The following is a 19,327-nucleotide window of genomic DNA, read 5'->3' as shown; positions in this document are numbered from 1 at the left end:
CTGCATATGTATACATGTGCCATGTAAATTTCTCATCAATTTTAGTATCATTAGTATTAGTCTCCTAGAGTCAAAAATGAAATATAAATTTATTCATTCTAGACATACTAACAAACTCCATTTGCTTTTAAATATTTTTATTCCAAATACTACCTTACAAATTTTAATACAGATACAATTTATTGATTGATTCAATCCTACTTAATACTAGTGTGAGCTCTTCTAAATTTTAGAATACATATGTGAAATATCTGGAGAATTTATTAAGAGTACAGATATATTCATGCTCTTCAGATATGAAGCTCCCAAACCTATTTGTATGTTTGTTCTGGTTTTTATCAAACATCTGAGGGCCACCTTTTGCACTATATTAAGTTGTCTGTGACACAAGCATGAATCAAAGATACTGCCTTGAACATGAAGGATGCAGAATTAGAGACACACAAAAACAACTAACACAAATAAAATCAGAGATAAAGGCAAGCACAATGGGAGTACAGGGTTAAAGTGTAGGCTGGAGACTATGGCATCAAGTGAGAGGAACTTGGAGTAAGACTTGGGGAAATTTCAGGAAGAATTATGAAACAGATTTTAGATTTTAGATCAATCTAAAAAGCAGCTCATAGTAAGGGAAACATGATGGATGTAAATAGATAGTTCACTGTGGTTGGAGTAACTGTAACACCTTATAGGTCCTTATTGTTTGTTCCCTTCTTTCAGCAATATCCAATCCTCAATGAAAAGGACATTGATAATGGTCCATATTGTGATAGGTTTTATTTGTATATTCTTATTTAACCATTTCCAAAACTTTATTAAATATTTTTGCTATTCCCATTTTGTCAGAGTGGTTGAAAAACCAGGATTCAAACTGTGATTTCTGGTCATGAAAGATCATGCTAATAGCCTTATTTTTATTTTGCAATCATATAAATAATAAATATACACGTTTATTTATTTAGTTAGCTAATCCCCCTCCACTTTAGTGTTAACCACTTATTACAAGCCCTCATATTTTTTATCTTGATTTTTATAAATCTCTACTTCTACTGACATAATTTTAGATCTGGATAATGCTGGAACAACCCATTTTAAAAGGTAAGTTAGAGGTGAATTTATTTCACAAAATTGCATAGTTAGATACTGTCAAGAACCATAGCCAGAAGCAGAAGCTTTTACATCTCTTGGCATGTTATTTTCTATTTTACTATCCAATTTATTTTATCTCTTTCTAATGTAGCAGCCAAGAATGTTCCTTAAATATTGCTTTTATCATGTTAGCCTGTGACTAAATCCTATATTAAAGCCCCATTTTTTGTTATAAGAGGGGAAAAAAACTCTTTAATGCATACTGTGAGCCATCTCTGTCTTCATATCTGGTTCTGTGCAGTATATTCTTAAGAACCACCATTTCAACAACTCATTATTTCATGGCAGTAATTGAATGCATCAAATGGAAAGGAACTATACTTTGCACAGAAGCACAAATGTGTTTTGTCTGCCCCCAGCCTTTGCTCTTTCTAAGTCTAATGACCAGGAAAATATCCACCTAATCAACAATCTGTCTTCCACTTGTGTTCTTAGTCCTACACTCCACCATTTGGTCTATTATAGTCTCTCTTTCCTGTTGCCAGTCCCTTCCTTCCTTCCTTCCTTCCTCTCTCTCTCTCTATCTCCTCTTCTTGCTTTTGGCAGTAATTTAAACAACTTCAAATCTCACCTACTTGTGGCAAGAATACTGGAGAAAGTTACTTTCTTTTTTACTAAGATCATTAAGAACTGTAGTGTTTTTAAAAAATTAATCGAAATGTTTATCTTCCATCCTCTTACCTTATTAGAATAACAATTAATGATTATACTTTTAAAGACTATATGCATATACTCCTTTCTTTTTTTTTTTTTTTTGAGACGGAGATTTGCTCTTGTTGCCCAGGCTGGAGCGCAATGGAGTCATCTCAGCTCACTGCAACCTCCACCTCCCAGGTTCAAGCAATTCTCCTGTCTCAGCCTCCCAAGTAGCTGGGATTACAGGTGCATGCCACCATGAGCAGGTAATTTTTGTATTTTTAGTAGAGATGAGGTTTCATCATATTGGTCAGGCTGGTCTCAAACTCCTGACCTCAGGTGATCTGCCCACCTTGGCCTCCCAAAGTGCTGGAATTACAGGCGTTAGCCACCTCACCCAGCCTATGTTCCTTACAAACAAAATTGCATGTAAGATATTTATCATGTGTGCTTTAGTAAACCAATAAATATAAGTTGAACTGATTAGATTGTTCTACAGGTTATATTTTGCTGTTCAAATAATCTGTAGTTTTTGTTGTTGTTGTTTTTGTTTTTTTGGTTGCGTTTTGGTTCAAAGAGACTTAGAAACCATTTGGTTCAATTCCTCTACTATTTCACCATGTATTTATTTTAGAACTTTCTTTATACAGGTGAAAAAACCGAAACCCAGTGAGGAAATGTAACTTGCTGGTCAAGGTCAATGACTAAATCAGTCACAGAGCCAGTAGAAAAAGCTAAGGTACACTGAACTACTGTGTACTAGAGTCTACAAAATGACTGATATGCAGGTATTCTTCAGTCTTCACAGCAAATCTGTAAAGTAACTAACTACAGTTATCCTCATTTGACAATTAGAGACCAACAATGAGGAGCTGGGGAAATGGAATCAAGCTTATCTAGAAGGTATGCCATAGGAATTGGTAGAATTCACAGGTGATACACCTTTAAAATACTGATTAGGAAACAAAATAAAAAGAAAACTTACATGTATGTGCTTTACTGTAAACTAATTCATATCTATTATATAAGTAAATTTCCACTACGGAACAGTCAATGAACAGTATATCATTATCTTCCTACTCCTTTTTCTGATGCTACTACTGCTGCTACCATTACGACTACTATTAATGCTGCCACCACTATTACCACCTATATTACTAGTAGAACCATACTGTAATAGTTTTTAGAATATTTTCCAGGCAGTTGTCTAAGTTATTTTTGTTTAAAATGTACAACCATTATATGAGATAGATATTGTTCTTATCTTCCTTTTGAAGGAAGAGACAAAAAAAAAAAAAACCACACACACATAGAGGTTAAATAATGTTCTTAAGGAAATGAATAAAGGATACTGGATAGGAGTTACAGCCACCATGTCAAATGGAGGCAGAATGAGTATAGATCCTGCAACAGAAATGATCACATTCTAGAACCAAAATTGTCCTCAGGCATGTAGGCAGATAAATATAGAATTACATCCTTGATTAAATTGTGTTTATGTTCCTCATTATTTTATACATTTGGTCAAACTGTATTTGAACTTTTTGAGAATGATTCTCTTGTACAAACTAGAGACAGTACTGACTTTATAGGATTACAGTTAAAATTAAGTTGAATATTAAGCATTTAATTGGCACTTTGTCCATGGTTGATATTTAAAAGACACTTGCTTTTATTTCTTCGTGTTAAACATCATTGTCTAAATTTATGAGAATATAAAAATTAGTAGCATGATTTAGTAGGGAATGTGTATTTGCATTCGTGCATATTAAAAAACCTGAGTTTGGCCGGGTGAGATGGCTCACGCTTGTAATCCCAGCACTTTGGAAGGCTGAGGTGGGCAGATCACGAGGTCAGGAGATGGAGACCATCCTGGCTAACACGGTGAAACCCCGTCTCTACTAAAAATACAAAAAAATTAGCCAGGTGTGGTGGCGTGCGCCTGTAGTCCCAGCTACTCGGGAGGTGGAGGCAGGAGAATGGCGTGAACCCGGGAGGCGGAGCTTACAGTGAGCCCACATCGTGCCACTGCACTCCAGTCTGGGCAACAGAGCGAGACTCCGTCTCAAAACACAACAACAACAAAACACACACACAAAAAAACAAAAAACAGAGTTTATATGTGTAAGAAATTGACCCTTCTAGAAAAACTTTCGTGTACATATATATATATACTAAATATATATATATATTTTCCTCATGTCACATTTTAAATAAATATACTAAGATCTGAGTCAAGAAATAGAATGACTAGCAAAAGTAAAAGTAACAAAATTATTACCGTAAAAAATCGTCGTAAAAAAAAATACGCTAAGGACTACAGGGCATGCCACCCAAACTACTACCTCTAAAATGAGCTATGGAAGTTCAGAGTACAGTTCAAAGACCACATTACAAACACAAATGAACAGTTTTCCTATCACAAAACCAACCTCTTTGGAACTGTAAAATTATTCATGAGAAAATTTGAAATCCTTTTAGATATACTTCCAAAAACGTCATGTCATTTCAAGAAAGTTAAAAAAAAATCAGTAAACTACTACTTCCTACCCTTCTTTGTTTATAAAATATTTTTTACCTGAAGTGCCCTGCATAGAATAACCAGATTCATAGCAACTTATAAGTCAATTCACTGTAATGGCCTGGAAGCCAGGATGATTAATATGTAGCTCTTAATATACATGCAAAATATTCTTTCTCAGTTCTGCATATAATATATGCCACAACACCTTGCCAAGCACAAAGATTGAATTCTAATAAAGAATAGAATGTATCAGAGTAATACAAGGCAGCATAGCTTTTCATAATAAGGACCTCCAAGGAACATGAACTTTATGAAATATTGTTTCTTTTTTTTACATTCAAATATATGTCGCAAAAGCTTGTGTAACAATGTGATATCTTCTTATTAAATATAATTTTCTAGAACCGAAGTATAATTTTTCCAGCGATTTTATGTATAGTTGCCTTATTTTGTTACATTATATACAATTTCAATAAAATATTTTTAAAGCCCCTAAATTAGGAAGAGAGAGAAGTAAAGACAAACTTACTTACTACTACCTAGTATGGAGAATAAGTTTTAATTCATGTTAATGTACTTCCAAATTTCTTGATGAACTAAAGTGAAAATGAATAATTACAAAGGGTTTATAAATTAATTGTTCTTGTGGTTCAAATCAATAATATATTAATATATCAATTATGTATAAATTTTTAATCAAATGAAAAACATACTCTTTCATTATTGCTACTCAGTATTATTATTTTTCCATAGCATACACAAAAGGCCAATTTGCCATAACCAAGTTTAGGGGGTACACCAAATAATTAATTGAATACCTTTGAAAAAAATAAAACGTTCAGGGTTGGGGACGCTTTCACTTCTTCCCTAGGTTCTTCTGAAAAGTTATCATGATTCTTAACTCTTTTTTTGCTTCTCAAATTACAGCCCCATTAGCAAATTGAACTGTGTCCTCGATACGAAACTCACATAGATTCTGTTTAAGACGAATTAATTTTCCTTTAATAGAAATCATATTAGTTGTTGTCTCATCCAGTCGTTGGGGAATACTGACAGAGAGCAGGAGAGAATGTTTTGGGGCAATGGAACTATTCTGTGTCTAGACTGGAGTGGAGGGTAAACAAGTATATACATTTGTCAAAACTCATCAGACTGTACACTTTAAATGAATACATTTTATTGTATGTAAGTTATACATTAAAAACTCCGAAAGAATTTGAGTGCCTATTATGTACCAAAATAAAGTATAATTCATAAATTCTAAATTTAGTTATAATTTTGAAAACATGGCTTTGTAAAACAAATGCCTTTGTGTTGTTTAGCACATTTCAAAACGTGGATATCTTTTTCAGAGTAACACAACTTTAGTGAAAAGCTGAGACTCTCAGGCTGCCTTAGTTTAATTCTTCATTGCTCACATGGCCAGAACATTCTACTAAGTTCTGGGGGAGGGTGTAAAAGCAATAAAATCTAGGATACCTGTCTTCAAAGAGTTGACAATTGAGTGGGAGATTTAAAATATTTTGCCACCTTTAAAAAGCAACAGATAAATGAGAGCAAATTAAAACTGCACAATCACAGTGCAAGTTTTGAGGTGTAGTAAATGAGAAAAGCGATCAGAGTGAGTCCAGGTTAATCAGGAGAAGTGCAGAAATTATTTGTGTTTTCAGCCAGCCAATAAAGGAGAGGGAAGACAGGTTGCAGGGAAAAAGAAGGTCGGTCGGTTTTAAACACATATGCACAGTGAAAGCAGTTTCTAATGAAGAAAGATTGTCTTTGCAGCATCCAGTTGGCATTATTGAGGGCCTCCACCTCATACCATCTCTATTCCTCCATTAGAATGCCATCCACAAAGTTGCAGAATGAAAGGAGACTTGTGGCCTCCTGGTGCTTCTCCATCCTCTTGCTACTCAGAAGCAAACCATTTCTATCTTTTCTTTCGTTACAGCTCAGTCAGCTAACGTTTTAAATAATTTGCTTTAAAAAAAAAGCTATGAGAAATAAAACAACAAATTCCAAAGTGTATTTTTTTTCTGAGTATGTGACAATTTCAATCTAACGGAATAATTTATTGATATAATATATTGAATACTACATAGGGTCTTATTTATTTTCTCCATCGATCTGGAAAATCCACAACCTAATTTTTTTTTGAGTTTGGCTAGCAATTCTGATAAATTCATTAAGACTCATAGTCTTTCCAAATATTAAGAGTCTAGTCTTCTCCCTGATTATAATTTCCACAGATATGTCCTAGGTACCCACTGCAGCTCTTTTCCCAACATTGTCTTTTTTCTTCACCCTGTATTTTTAGCTACTTCTCTTTGAGTGCAAGGAATAGAGAGACACTCAAATTTTCCCAAGCACAGAAGAGAGGTGTTTATCATACTGATGTGTAAGAATACAAAATGCATGGCACATATATATATATATATATATATATATATATATATGTGTGTGTGTGTGTGTGTGTGTGTGTGTGTGTTCATTTTATACACACACATACACAGAGGTTATATTGCATATTATAGCAGTAATTTGTAACCAGAAAAATGTCTGCTTTTCTGTGAAACAATGTGCTACAGGGAACTCAAATAAGGATGTACTGGTTGTGTTAGATGTCAAAGAATCAGCAGTGAGCAAGACAGACATGATCTTTGAATTTATGAAATGTGAAGTCTAAAGGGCAGATAGGCATTGAGCAAAGGACTATTCAGACAAGTGCAGATGCTATAAAAGTATACAATCAGAACTCTTAAACACCATAATATAGGCTTTCTATGGAAAATTAATGTTGAACTATGAGCTGAAAATTATTGAAGTCAGCTATCTTAAAAGTAGGTGGAGAGAATTTTATGGGTTCCACAAGTTTTTGCATACTTGTGGAGCCCTTAAAATTCTCTCCACCTACTTTTTCATGGCTCCTCTGAAACCAGTACTTGTTTGTTTTCTTCGTGTACTGGTTTCAGAGGAGCCATGAAAATTCTCCAATCATCCAAAACCCAAGCTGACACCAGAAAATCCACCTCCGTTGTTACAAAACTTTAAAAAATTATTGTTGAATTTAACATTTAAATTCAAGTTTAAATTCACTGCTTCATTGATTCAATAAATAGTTATTAAGCATCTACCATGTAACCACCCACCCTTATTCCAAGTAAAAGGCAAGGAACAGTGAACAACTAGGGTGATCAAACATTCTGGTTTGCCATGGGCCATCTCAGTGATAGCACTGAAAGTGCCACATCCTGAGAACCTCCCTACTCCCCTTCCCCCGTCTCACACCAACCACAACATTTGGCCACCCTAAAAAAGACACAACACATCCTTAACTGTATAAGGTTTAAATTCCGGGTGGAGGAACAAAACATAAAAATACACTTCTATATGTTTAAGGCATTAATAAATGCAAAGAAGAAAAATTAAGCAAGGCAGTGGAAAAGAGAATAAGGAGCTAGAATTTTTGACATGTTATTCAGAAACGGCTTCTCTAAGGAAGTGATATTTAAGCAGAATCTCAAATAAAATGAAGAAGCCAACCATGAAAATATCTGGGGAAGTTTCATAAAGAGAATAAAAGGGAAAACTTTCTGAAGAAGCAGAAGGCTTAGTAGGCTCAAGAAAGTTCAATGAGATTAGAGAGGTAACTGGGGACCAGCTCAGGCCAAACCTTGGTTGGGTATTGATTTAATTCTCAGTGTGATAGGACACCACTGAAGAATCTAAACAACTGATTTGTGAACTAATAACACACTATTTTTAAAAGCTTACTTGTCTCAAAAAAAGTGCTAGAGAGTTAGTTGTTTTCTTATTTTGGCTCACATTTTTGTTATATATTTTTTGTGATATTTTAACTGGAAAATCAGGACTTCAAGATTTCTAGTTAGAATTTTCAATGCTTTTTTGGCATAAAACAACTTCTCTTATTTTTTGTTACTGTTTTGATAAATATACTATATATATTTAAAATAATATGTATTCTACAGTCAAGTGCACATAAAAAACCATATATGTGTGATCATGTGCACTGAGAAAGATACAGAAATAAATATTAAGAAATAAATAAGATTACCTCAAGGAGAGGAAGTAAAAGGTTAAGATAATAACAAATAGTATCTGATTTTTGTATAATTAAAAATATAGGCCATGCACAGTGGCTCACGCCTGTAATCCCAACATTTTGGGAGGCGAAGGCAGGCAGATAGCTTGAGTCCAAGAGTTCAAGGTGAGCCTGGGCAACATGGTGAAACCCCATCTCAAAAAGAAATACAAAAAGTTAGCCTGGTATGCTGTGTGTGCTTGTAGTCCCAGATACGTGGGAGGCTGAGGTGAGAGGATGACTTGAGCCCAGGAGGCGGAGGTGGCAGTGAGCCAAGTTCACGCCACTGCATTCCAGCCAGGGTGATAGAGCCAGATCATGTCTCAAAATAAAATAAAGTAAAATAAATATAATTTTATATCCTACATTTTTAAATTACAGAAAATTTATATTTCTGTTTTGATATAGAACCTTTTAAATTAGTTATCATCATCTTTATCCCTATTCTTTCTCACATCATAACACATATTGGCAATAGTATCAACAAAAAGAAAAACCAAAAAGGAACCAAACAAAAAAACTATAGCTATCAGGGACAAAAATCACCTAATAAAATTAATGTTTTTTGAAATTGCCGATACAAATACTTAATTCTTATAAAACTAGAAATTTAATGTGATATTCTACATGGTTACTTAATTTTATATGCATTTGTCAAATTTTATGTATGATTTTAAAAATATGCATTATTTGTGTGGGCAACATTAAATATATTAACTTTATTAAGTGACTTTTGTCTTGAACCTTATCATTATTTGAAGACTGTTTTGAAATAATAAAAAAAAATCCTTTAAACAATGATTGTTTTCTCTTAGTAAGGTACAATGTAAATAAATGTCAATTTTAATATAATTTTTATAATTGCTATTTTAATTTGTCTTTATCAGTAGATTTTAGACAACACTTCCATTACGTAACTGTAAATGTGTCCCCATAATATTTGCTAAATAATGAATGAAGATAAACCGTTTACTTATCTGCATTATTTTCTATAAAATGTCATTGAATTATTTCTTGAACACTAAATGGATTGTTTTTGTATCTCTGACATTCTTACCAAAAGTTCTGTTTCTTTTTTCTGTTTTTGACACAGGGTCTCACTCTATCACCCAGATTGGAGTGCAGTGGTGCAATCACAGCTCCCTTCAGCCTCCAACTCCTGGACTCAAGCGATCCTACCACCTCAGCCTCCTGAGTATTTGGGGCTACAGGCATGATTCACTGTGCCTGGCTCTCAACCAAAAGTTCAAGATTATTAAGCATTGTTTTACAAGGTTTGAAATATCCTACTCTTTTGAGGCATTATAGTTCTATGTTGCTGTTATTAATAGCAATTAACATAAACAAATATATGAATAACTATGAATATCTTAAAAATGTTTATTACACAATGTCACTAACCTCAGAGATGCAAAAAATAATTTAATAAATTATGCTTTTTGGAGGAATTTTCCATATACTTTATCTCCATTTAGAAAAAATATGTTTTTAATTTGCAATGCAAAACATAGCTTTGATTGGACTGTACCTTATTTTCAACATTTTCATTACACTCTTTGATGCTAATCCATGGCAGTTTCTAAGGGATTTGAAAGATGGTGAAATAGGTTTAATAAATAAAAGATTAAGAAAGCACTTTTCTGTATCATTGTTGTTTTAAAACCTGAAACTAAAGGGTGAGGTAAAACCTGGAACTGAAGGCTGAGGTATAATCAGCTAAAGGCTGATTATAGTCTTCAAATATACTGAAGAACAGTTTCCACACCGAAGTGTACAGCTTCATTTCCTAGCAAAAGCAGACTATCAAAACCCAGTGAATCTGGATAACAGAAGGATGAATTCAAGTATCCATTTTTTTAAGTTGTGGAATATTTGAGTCTGTTGTGTGCTCAACCTTGAAAATTTTTTAAGAAGGAAAAATAAATCCACGTGTTTTTTTGTTTGTTTTCAATAAATTAAGTGCAAATAAAAAAGTAACAAGTAAATTACAAGGTCCTTTTTTCATTTCAGTGTTCAATCTTCTCTACTCAAATTTTTTAAATCATGGCTATAAAGATATTGCTTAACAGAAGATTTCAAGAAGTTTTTTCCTTATTTTTCTAAAATGTCACATGTGCCAAATGAAATGTGTGTATATGACAGCATAATATTTTAACCAGCATTTATTTATGATCATGCATTCTTTAAGTATATGGAACAGCCAGAAGCTAATGTGGATAACAATATTTTTCACTAAACTTACATAAACACAAACACATACACACACTTCAAGTAGAATGTGATCTCCATTATGTATAAATATGGTGTATGTTTACTTAAGCAGAAATAACCTCCAGGAGTCTATAACAATAAGTTCATATCTATTTTTACACTTTAAGGTAGCCAGGTATTATATAGAAGTTTTATACTAATAAATTTAAATTATAAATAATGCATCACCCCACAATAATTTTCATATTCTAAACATTTCTATAAAATGTATTATTTTACTCACTGAATGTTTCAATGTAACTTCTTCAAAAATAAATTTTTCGTTGAATCATTATCATTGCTAAGGTAAGTGGGGGGGTTTAACAATTCTTTTCTCAATTGCATTATAGTGAAAGCTTGAGGATTTTGTACGGTTATTAGGCACACAATGCCATTTTTCCTTATTAAACTGTCACCAAATTTCTCATATAGCTCCATGAAAGAATAATTGTGGGATAACAAAGTACAAAATTTTACATTTGAGCCAGGCTGCTCTGAAGATTTGGAGTTTGTTTTGTTTTGTTCTGTTTAAAGTCTTTGTGAATATAAAGATAACAAAAAGTCCATCCTGATAAACATGCACACATACACATACATACTCACAAACACAGAGAGAAAGGGGCAGAGATTGGCGGGGAGAGAATGGATAGTACAAAATACTGATGCATGGAAACTGAAAAAAGGAATTCAAAAAAATCCATCAGCCAAGAATGCAACAAAAATATAAATTTTAGTAGAAGGTAAGAAATAAGCAAATAAGCAAATTACTTCTAACTTGAAAGACACCTACAGATAATATAAAGAAATGAAACATATTAATGTGTAAACAAACTTGAATCGATTTAAATTTTATAGTTAATTTGATTTATTCAGCTCTTTTATATCTCTAAATTCTAATGAATGAATACATAAAGCTATGAGTGACCATAAGTATATAAGCTAATTTCATTCGGACTCATTTTTCTAAATTACAAAATGGCAGTAAGATCTACTCCTTTATGTTGTTAGGTGAACGTTAATTGGCATAATGCCTTTAAAATACACTTCATAAAATATAAAGTGACACAGACATGAAAGTGTTCATATTAGGTTGCCTCCCAACTTTTTGTGACAATGCAACAGTTCTCTTTAGAAGCAACATATGGGACAGTTTTTCATGGAAAAAACAATATAGTACATTAGTAAACACTTGGAAATAACATTCTGATCTGGTTATCAAGGAAGCTAATCTTATGTCAGTTTCAAAACCGAGTAAGTGATAAACTGGTTGCTGCAGAGGTTAATAGTTGAAAAATTGTAGTTGTGGATATGAGTAAAATACAAAAGCTCTATTCTTTTCTATCTCTTTGGCTATATAAGAAAAGATGTGAGGATAGGGCTTCAGAAGCTTAAAAGTGAATACATCCTTCACTGAGGAAGCCATAAGCTCCAATGAAAAAGTCAGAATAAAATATGTCTTAAGTCCAATGTGTAACAAGCATTTGATTTGGAGCAATATGCAAAACATATATGCAAACAACCTGAGAGGCATTTGATGAAATTTAAATCTCAGAGTGGTATTTCTATTCAGTAACATCAAGGGAAAGTTCTATTTGAAACAAAGAATTATAAGGATAAATTTAGTTCATTAAATTCAAATACAAGGCATTTTAAAACCTGACCCTAATTTATCTTTTCAAGCCTACCTGTCATTTCTGAACTGTATACACATTGTGAGTGAAGATTCTGTGTTCTATAGCTGTAAATTTATTTTTGCTAATTACTCTATTCAGGGACTTTTTCTATTCAAGTACTTGTTATTGCTATATAATAGTTGTATATTTATAAGGCATATGAGGTTTTTAAATACATGCATACAATACATAATTATCAAATAAGGAATAATTGGGATATCCACATCATTTATTTGTGTTGGAAACATTTCAAATATTCCCTTCTATTTCAAAATATATAATAAATTCTTATTAACGATAATTGTCCTAGTATGCTATTGAACACTAGAACTTCTATCTATTTGCATTTTTGAACCTATTAACCAGTCTCTCCTCAATGCCCACCACCCTCTTCCCTTCCCTGGTTCTGGTAACCACCATTCTACTCTCTGCCCCCATGGGATAATTTTGTTTTAGCTCCTACATATGAATGAGAACATATTATATTTCATTGCCTAGCTCATTTTACTTAACCTCTAGTTTCATCTATCTTGCTGCAAATGGCAGAATTTTATTATTTTTTGGATGAATAATATTTCATTGTGTATGTGTACCACATTTTCTTTATCCATTCATTTGTTAATGGACACTTAGGTTGATTCCATATCTTGGTTATTGTGAATAGTGCTGCAATGTACATGGGAGTACAGATATTGCTTCAATATACTGATTTCCTTTAGGAAAAAGTGCTTTTTTAGGCAAACTTGCCCTCACCAAATTAATGTCTTAGAAGACTTTCTCTTTTAAGGTATAGAAACTATATTAAGGGAAGCAATACTAAAGTATGACTAGTCAAATGTATTAATAAAAATTAAGTAGCCATTCTATAACCCTAGAGAAGTAAGCAACATGGACAAAACAGCATTCTTAGTGCAAAAGCTATTTCAGAAATATCATATTTGTTATTTTTTGTTCCCACAGAAACTCTTTGCAAAGAGTGTATTTTAGTGATGACAAATTATGTACCTATATATAGATTAAATGAGCAAAGATCTCAGACATCTAGTAAACTGCATATATAATCTGGTTAAAATTGGTCAATCTGATACAAATCAAGTTTTAATTGAGCTTTATTAACTATAAGATCTAGGTTCAGAATCAGAGCCTTTTCCTAAATATAAATATTCTGAACATATTTTTCTTTATAGCTTATCTCAGCTAAGAACTCATAATAGGCAAGAGAAGAAGTTTAGACAACATAAGCTGAGATCAGAAGTGGAAAACAAGAACTAGCACACAAGCTATATGGTTGTCTACTCAATGTTAAAGTCAAAGGCCAAACGAAAAAGGAATTAACTTTCAACTGATGGCAACATTCAGGAATTCTGACCCAGAGGATTAGGAGTACATACAAGCGGGTATTCATAAATAGCTTGGGAATATTTTGGAATGACAGAACTGTGGGTCTCTCTATCATTCATTCCATCAATATACATTACTAAAAGCAATTGGGAAGGAGCTATTAGATTGCTCAGCTACACAGGACACTAGGATTTGATGAACACATTATTACTCCAGTAATAATTGGAATTGCTGAATGCTGAATATATAACTGGGAAAAACATCCACTAATGTAAAGTTGAAAAGATAAAGTGTTAATGGAACCTCTTTGGCCTAATATATTCACAGGTGTTTGGATCTATCCCCAGGCACAATCACTACAAGGTCTATAACAATAATGGATATCGGATATCATCTTCTTGTGGGAATCAGTCATCGCTGACTTGAGAACTGAGAGCCGCTGAGCCTAAAGCTTCCAGTTATCAGTGCATGATGGATGCAGGGATGTATTTTATTCACTTAGAACAATTCCTAGCATTGAGGCACCGCATATTAAATGTTTGTGAAATGAAAAGAAAGTTTGAGGCCGGGCGCGGTGGCTCACGCCTGTAATCCCAGCACTTTGGGAGGCCGAGGCAGGCGGATCACGAGGTCAGGAGATCGAGACCATCCCGGCTAAAACGGTGAAACCCCGTCTCTACTAAAAATACAAAAAATTAGCCGGGCGTAGTGGCGGGCGCCTGTAGTCCCAGCTACTTGGGAGGCTGAGGCAGGAGAATGGCGTGAACCCAGGAGGCGGAGCTTGCAGTGAGCCGAGATCCCGCCACTGCACTCCAGCCTGGGCGACAGAGCGAGACTCCGTCTCAAAAAAAAAAAAAAAAAAAAAAAAAAAGAAAAGAAAGTTTGAATAAATGAATAGATGATTGAATGAATGGACTGAACAAAGTAGAATTATTTTTATTTAGTATTTACTCCTGTTTTGAGACTATGAGCAAATGTTCCATAAATATTAGTTTAGAAAAGAGAATGCCATCAGATTAAAAAAAGAAGGTACCGATAACTGAAATGATTGCATTTTATATGAATGGCATTTCTGAAGAATACAATAGTGTGGTTAAGTGATTTGAAATAATTGGGAATCATATTGCTAAATAATGCCATTAAATTTCTGAGAACTTTCAGGAATAACTTATTTTTTAATGTCCAAGACAGCTTCCAATCATAATTGTCACTGAAGACACAAAAAATACTGATAGGGCTTGGCTGTGTCCCCATCCAAATCTCAAACTGAATTGTATGTAGTTCCCATAATCCCCATGTGTCATGGGAGGAACTCAGTGAGAGATAATTAAGTCATGGGGGCGGTTTCCCCCATGCAATTCTCATGATAGTAAGTTCGTTCTCACAAGATCTGATGGTTTTATAAGGCCTTCCCCCTTAGCTCGGTTCTCATTCTTCTCTTTCCACCATGATTGTAAGTTTCCTGAGGCCACCTAGTTCTGCAGAACTGTGAGTCTATTAAACCTCTTTCTTTTATAAATTACCCAGTCTCAGGTTTGTCCTTACAGCTATGTGGGAATGGACTAATACAGATATGTAATATTAAGTACTGTGTCTTAGTAGATCAGATTGGTTAGATATCTAAGAATTCAATTTAAGTCTTGAACTCTCAATTTACTATACAAATTAAAAATAAAAATCACTGACGATTTCAATTATAGCTGAGGTAATGGTTTTTACCATTGTACAGAATTGAATTGCTGTGTCACCAACTCTACTTGATTAAAAATACATTCAATTTATTATCTTTGGTATCTTAAACAATTGAAACATAAATGTTTTAAGTATTCAATATATCTGAATAAATGAAAAATGAATATGAATCTTAAAAAGAAATTCTAACAATTTCTTACGATAACCATGAAATCCATTAGCTATTACAGAGAGAAGAAAAAAAAATTCCCAACTTTAGATCACTTGAGAAGCAGCTTAGGAGGGAGGGAATTACTTATGTTTTGTCACCTATTTATCCTGACACTTATTGGTGAAAACAACAACACAAATCTCAAACCAACTTACACAACCCAGATGGGTTTTCTCAAAGTTCCAGGTTCATATATAAAACAAATCCTTTTGTTTCAGTCATCACTATTCTCAAAGATTTTTAAAAAACAGACAAATACACTAATTGTTTTCAAAGAGGACTTATGCTTGAAATGCAGTAGTTTTTAGGATGTTAACTGTCAAGAATATCTCAAAAAAGAAAAGATACATTATTTTCATATACAATTATTTGATAGTTCAATAACTACAAGGATTGGAAGCTATCTTGGACATGTATTGTTTGTTTTGAATATCAAGAAATTAATGTCAGAGTTTACACAGCTCAAAAAAACTTGTATAGATAAATGGTAGCTACATTGGGATTAAGACTCAGGTTTTCTAATTCATGGCCTATATGAATATTAACTTGCTATAATCTCTGTTTATTCAATTAAGTTTCATGATAGCATATTAGTTATTGCCTTCATAAAATAAATAAAAGTGAATTATAAATGTCATTTGGAGTTAGGAAGTGGGTAAAAAGCAAAGAGAATTCAGTAGGACAAAGATGATACTTGGGATAGAAACCATGCCAATTAGTCCTTTTTTCATTTGGAAAAAGAAGCTTGCGATATCTCAGAAAAAAAAGATACCTTCACAAGGAATTATTTCAGATGCTAAGAGTGAAGATTAGAGGCAAAATATGGTTAGATGTGGAATATGCCCTGGAGTATATATTTGTGAAATACCACGATTGCTGTTTTCTTTTTAGGAAGGGTTTTGCTGCTTTAGAGATATTCTGTGTAGATATTTTGACTTTTCTTCTGAATCTGCCTATTTTTCCCAGAATGTTAGCGAAATTTTAAGCCTGTGATATTTTTAGGAATATGTTTTCTGTTATGTAGGAAAACAAAGATATTTCTTCTTCATTACAAACTCATGATCATTTATTAAGGTTATTATCAATATTTTTCCTTTGAAACATCATATACATCTACTAAGTTATATGATGTCAGGTAGCTTCTAACTTTTACAGAAGTGGATCCAATGAGCTAAGTTTTGAAATCAACATTTTGTCTATAGCTTAAAAATGAATTGGTTCATTGAGTTGATTTCTATGACAACTACTTGGCATTAAGCTTTGTCAGCATTCTGTAAGCTATTGGGTTAATGATAACTAGCTAATGTAATGGATTAGTTAACGAGATTTTTAGTCACCCCTATCTGACTTATGGATATATGGCTGTTATTTGGAATTACAATTAAACATCTCACATAATTACTCTTTGACATACAAAATAAACAGAGTAAAATATAATATGTACTACTATATTTTTTCAATGACACTGTTGTCCTTGGTAGGCATATTCTCATCATTCATTTTATGAAATACACTTTACCTGGCACCAAATCATGAAGTGTGGAAAGAGAAGGAAGGCATTTTAGCATACATATTAATACAATTAGGAACAAAATACAAGTATGTAAAGCAAGCATATGAGGCTGCAGTTTCCAGGAGGCACCAGGTTTCAGTAAAACCTTTTGAAATACCCAAAACATAACACTGTTGTCTCATGCTGATGTGGTTTATGACAGTTACAAGACGTGGTAAAGATATATAGATATAGATATAGATTCGATATAGATGTAGATATAGAGAGAGCATCTGTAAAAAAATTCTGCTATACTCATAGTTAGTGTTGGGTATTAGATACTCTATGAAAATATATGACCTAATTTAAAGACATAGGACAACTTTCTACAATACTATCATACTATTGACATATTTTCACTTAATAAATCTTACTGGATTAAATATGTGTGACTAAAGTTATTAAATGTGTACCTGAGTGCTATGATGAAAATTCTCACAAAATAATTACACAAAAAAGAAGTTTTGATTCTAAAATTAAGCAAACTACTAATAAAAAGGCCTAAAAGATGTCGATTTTCTCACATTTGAGGTCTTCTTCAATGTTACTGTTAGGAAGAAACAATAGCTCTTCAGAGTCAAAAGTGTCCTGTTTCTGGCATTTACAGACCACATTCCTGCACATCTTTTCCAATCTCACAACTCCTTCTTTTATCTGCTGTAGTCATTGGAGCTTTCAGATCCTTAATTTTAATCTCATAGCTTCCTCAGTTACCACTGCTTTAAAAGAAAAGTATGATATTTCATATTTGAATCTTAATATCCTTCTTGAGGCGCTTGCTTCTCTTAAACACTTAACTGTAGGAAACAGGTACTCTCACCTTCTACAGGCCCTGAAAATCCAAGGTCATGAGCCAAGCTCCAAATAACCTCGTCACTAAATAGATAATTTGGTATCAAATATATAAAATGATAAAAGTAGATATTACACTTGAAAACAAGAAAAGGCAGATAATTGAAAAGTAATAATCAATGAGAACATACTACATTTAATACAGGAAGACAAACTATCAAGCCATAGCTGGACAATTCTTCAAAGATTGCATTTCAGTTTAGTTGTATCATTGTTGTATTATTCCATTCTCACACTGCTATAAAGAAATAACAGACTGGGTAATTTTTAAAGAAAAGAGGTTTAGTCAGCTCACGGTTCTGCCGGCTGTACAGAAAGCACAGCACAGTATCTTCCTGAGGAGACCTCATGGAGCTTTTACTCATGGTGAGAGGTAAAGCACGATCAAGTACATCACATGACGAAAGCAGGAGAAAGAGAGAGAAGAGAGGTGCTACACACTTTTAAATAACCAGATCTCATGAGAACTCACTATTGTGAAGACAGTATCAAGGAGATGTTGCTAAAATATTCATGAGAAGCCCACTCTCCTGATCCTGTAAACCCTCACCTATCCCCACCTCCAATACCGGGGATTACAATTCAACATTAGATTTGAGTGGGGATACACATGCATACTATATCAACTGTTATCAGAGAAAGTTGTCCAGTATTGTCCAGGAGACAATACAATACAATACAATACAATACAATACAATACAATACAATACAATACAATACAATCTAACTCCAGTTGAACGATGTCTGGTGACTCTTTGTACGTTTACATAAATTTCCTCTATGTGGACCATATCAGCCTGGGCATAAAAATGATACTGTCCTATTTGAAATGAATTTTTCCTTAGTAATCACTCAGTTTCTATAAAAGGAACTCCAGAAAATATGTCCAAATTATTTCTGCAAACTGCCAGAGGATATTTCTCATTTGGGCACATACAAGTTTTCTCAACCACATTACTGTCTATGAATCTTACTAATATTAATTTAACTTCTCTTTTGTGATGCTTCATTTTGGTAATATCTCTTGACTAGTGCATTAAGCTTACTCACCTACACAAGGTTTTCAGTCCTGTTATCACCAAGTCTCCTTCTCCACTCCCATCGGCAAATAATAATGAGAGGTGACAGCATACTGGCAGCCCTCGCTCGCTCTCGGGGCCTCCTCGGCCTTGGCGCCCACTCTGGCCGTGCTTGAGGAGCCCTTCAGCCCACCGCTGCACCGTGGGAGCCCCTTTCCGGGCTGGCCAAGGCGGGAGCCGGCTCCCTCAGCTTGCGGGAAAGTGTGGAGGAAGAGGCACGGGCGGGAACCAGGGCTGCGCGCGGCGCTTGCGGGCCAGCGCGAGTTCCG

The sequence above is a fragment of the Homo sapiens genome, chromosome 13, assembly GCF_000001405.40.
Source record: "Homo sapiens chromosome 13, GRCh38.p14 Primary Assembly".
Taxonomy (NCBI): domain Eukaryota; kingdom Metazoa; phylum Chordata; class Mammalia; order Primates; family Hominidae; genus Homo; species Homo sapiens.
Note: the sequence above shows the minus strand (reverse complement) of the source record.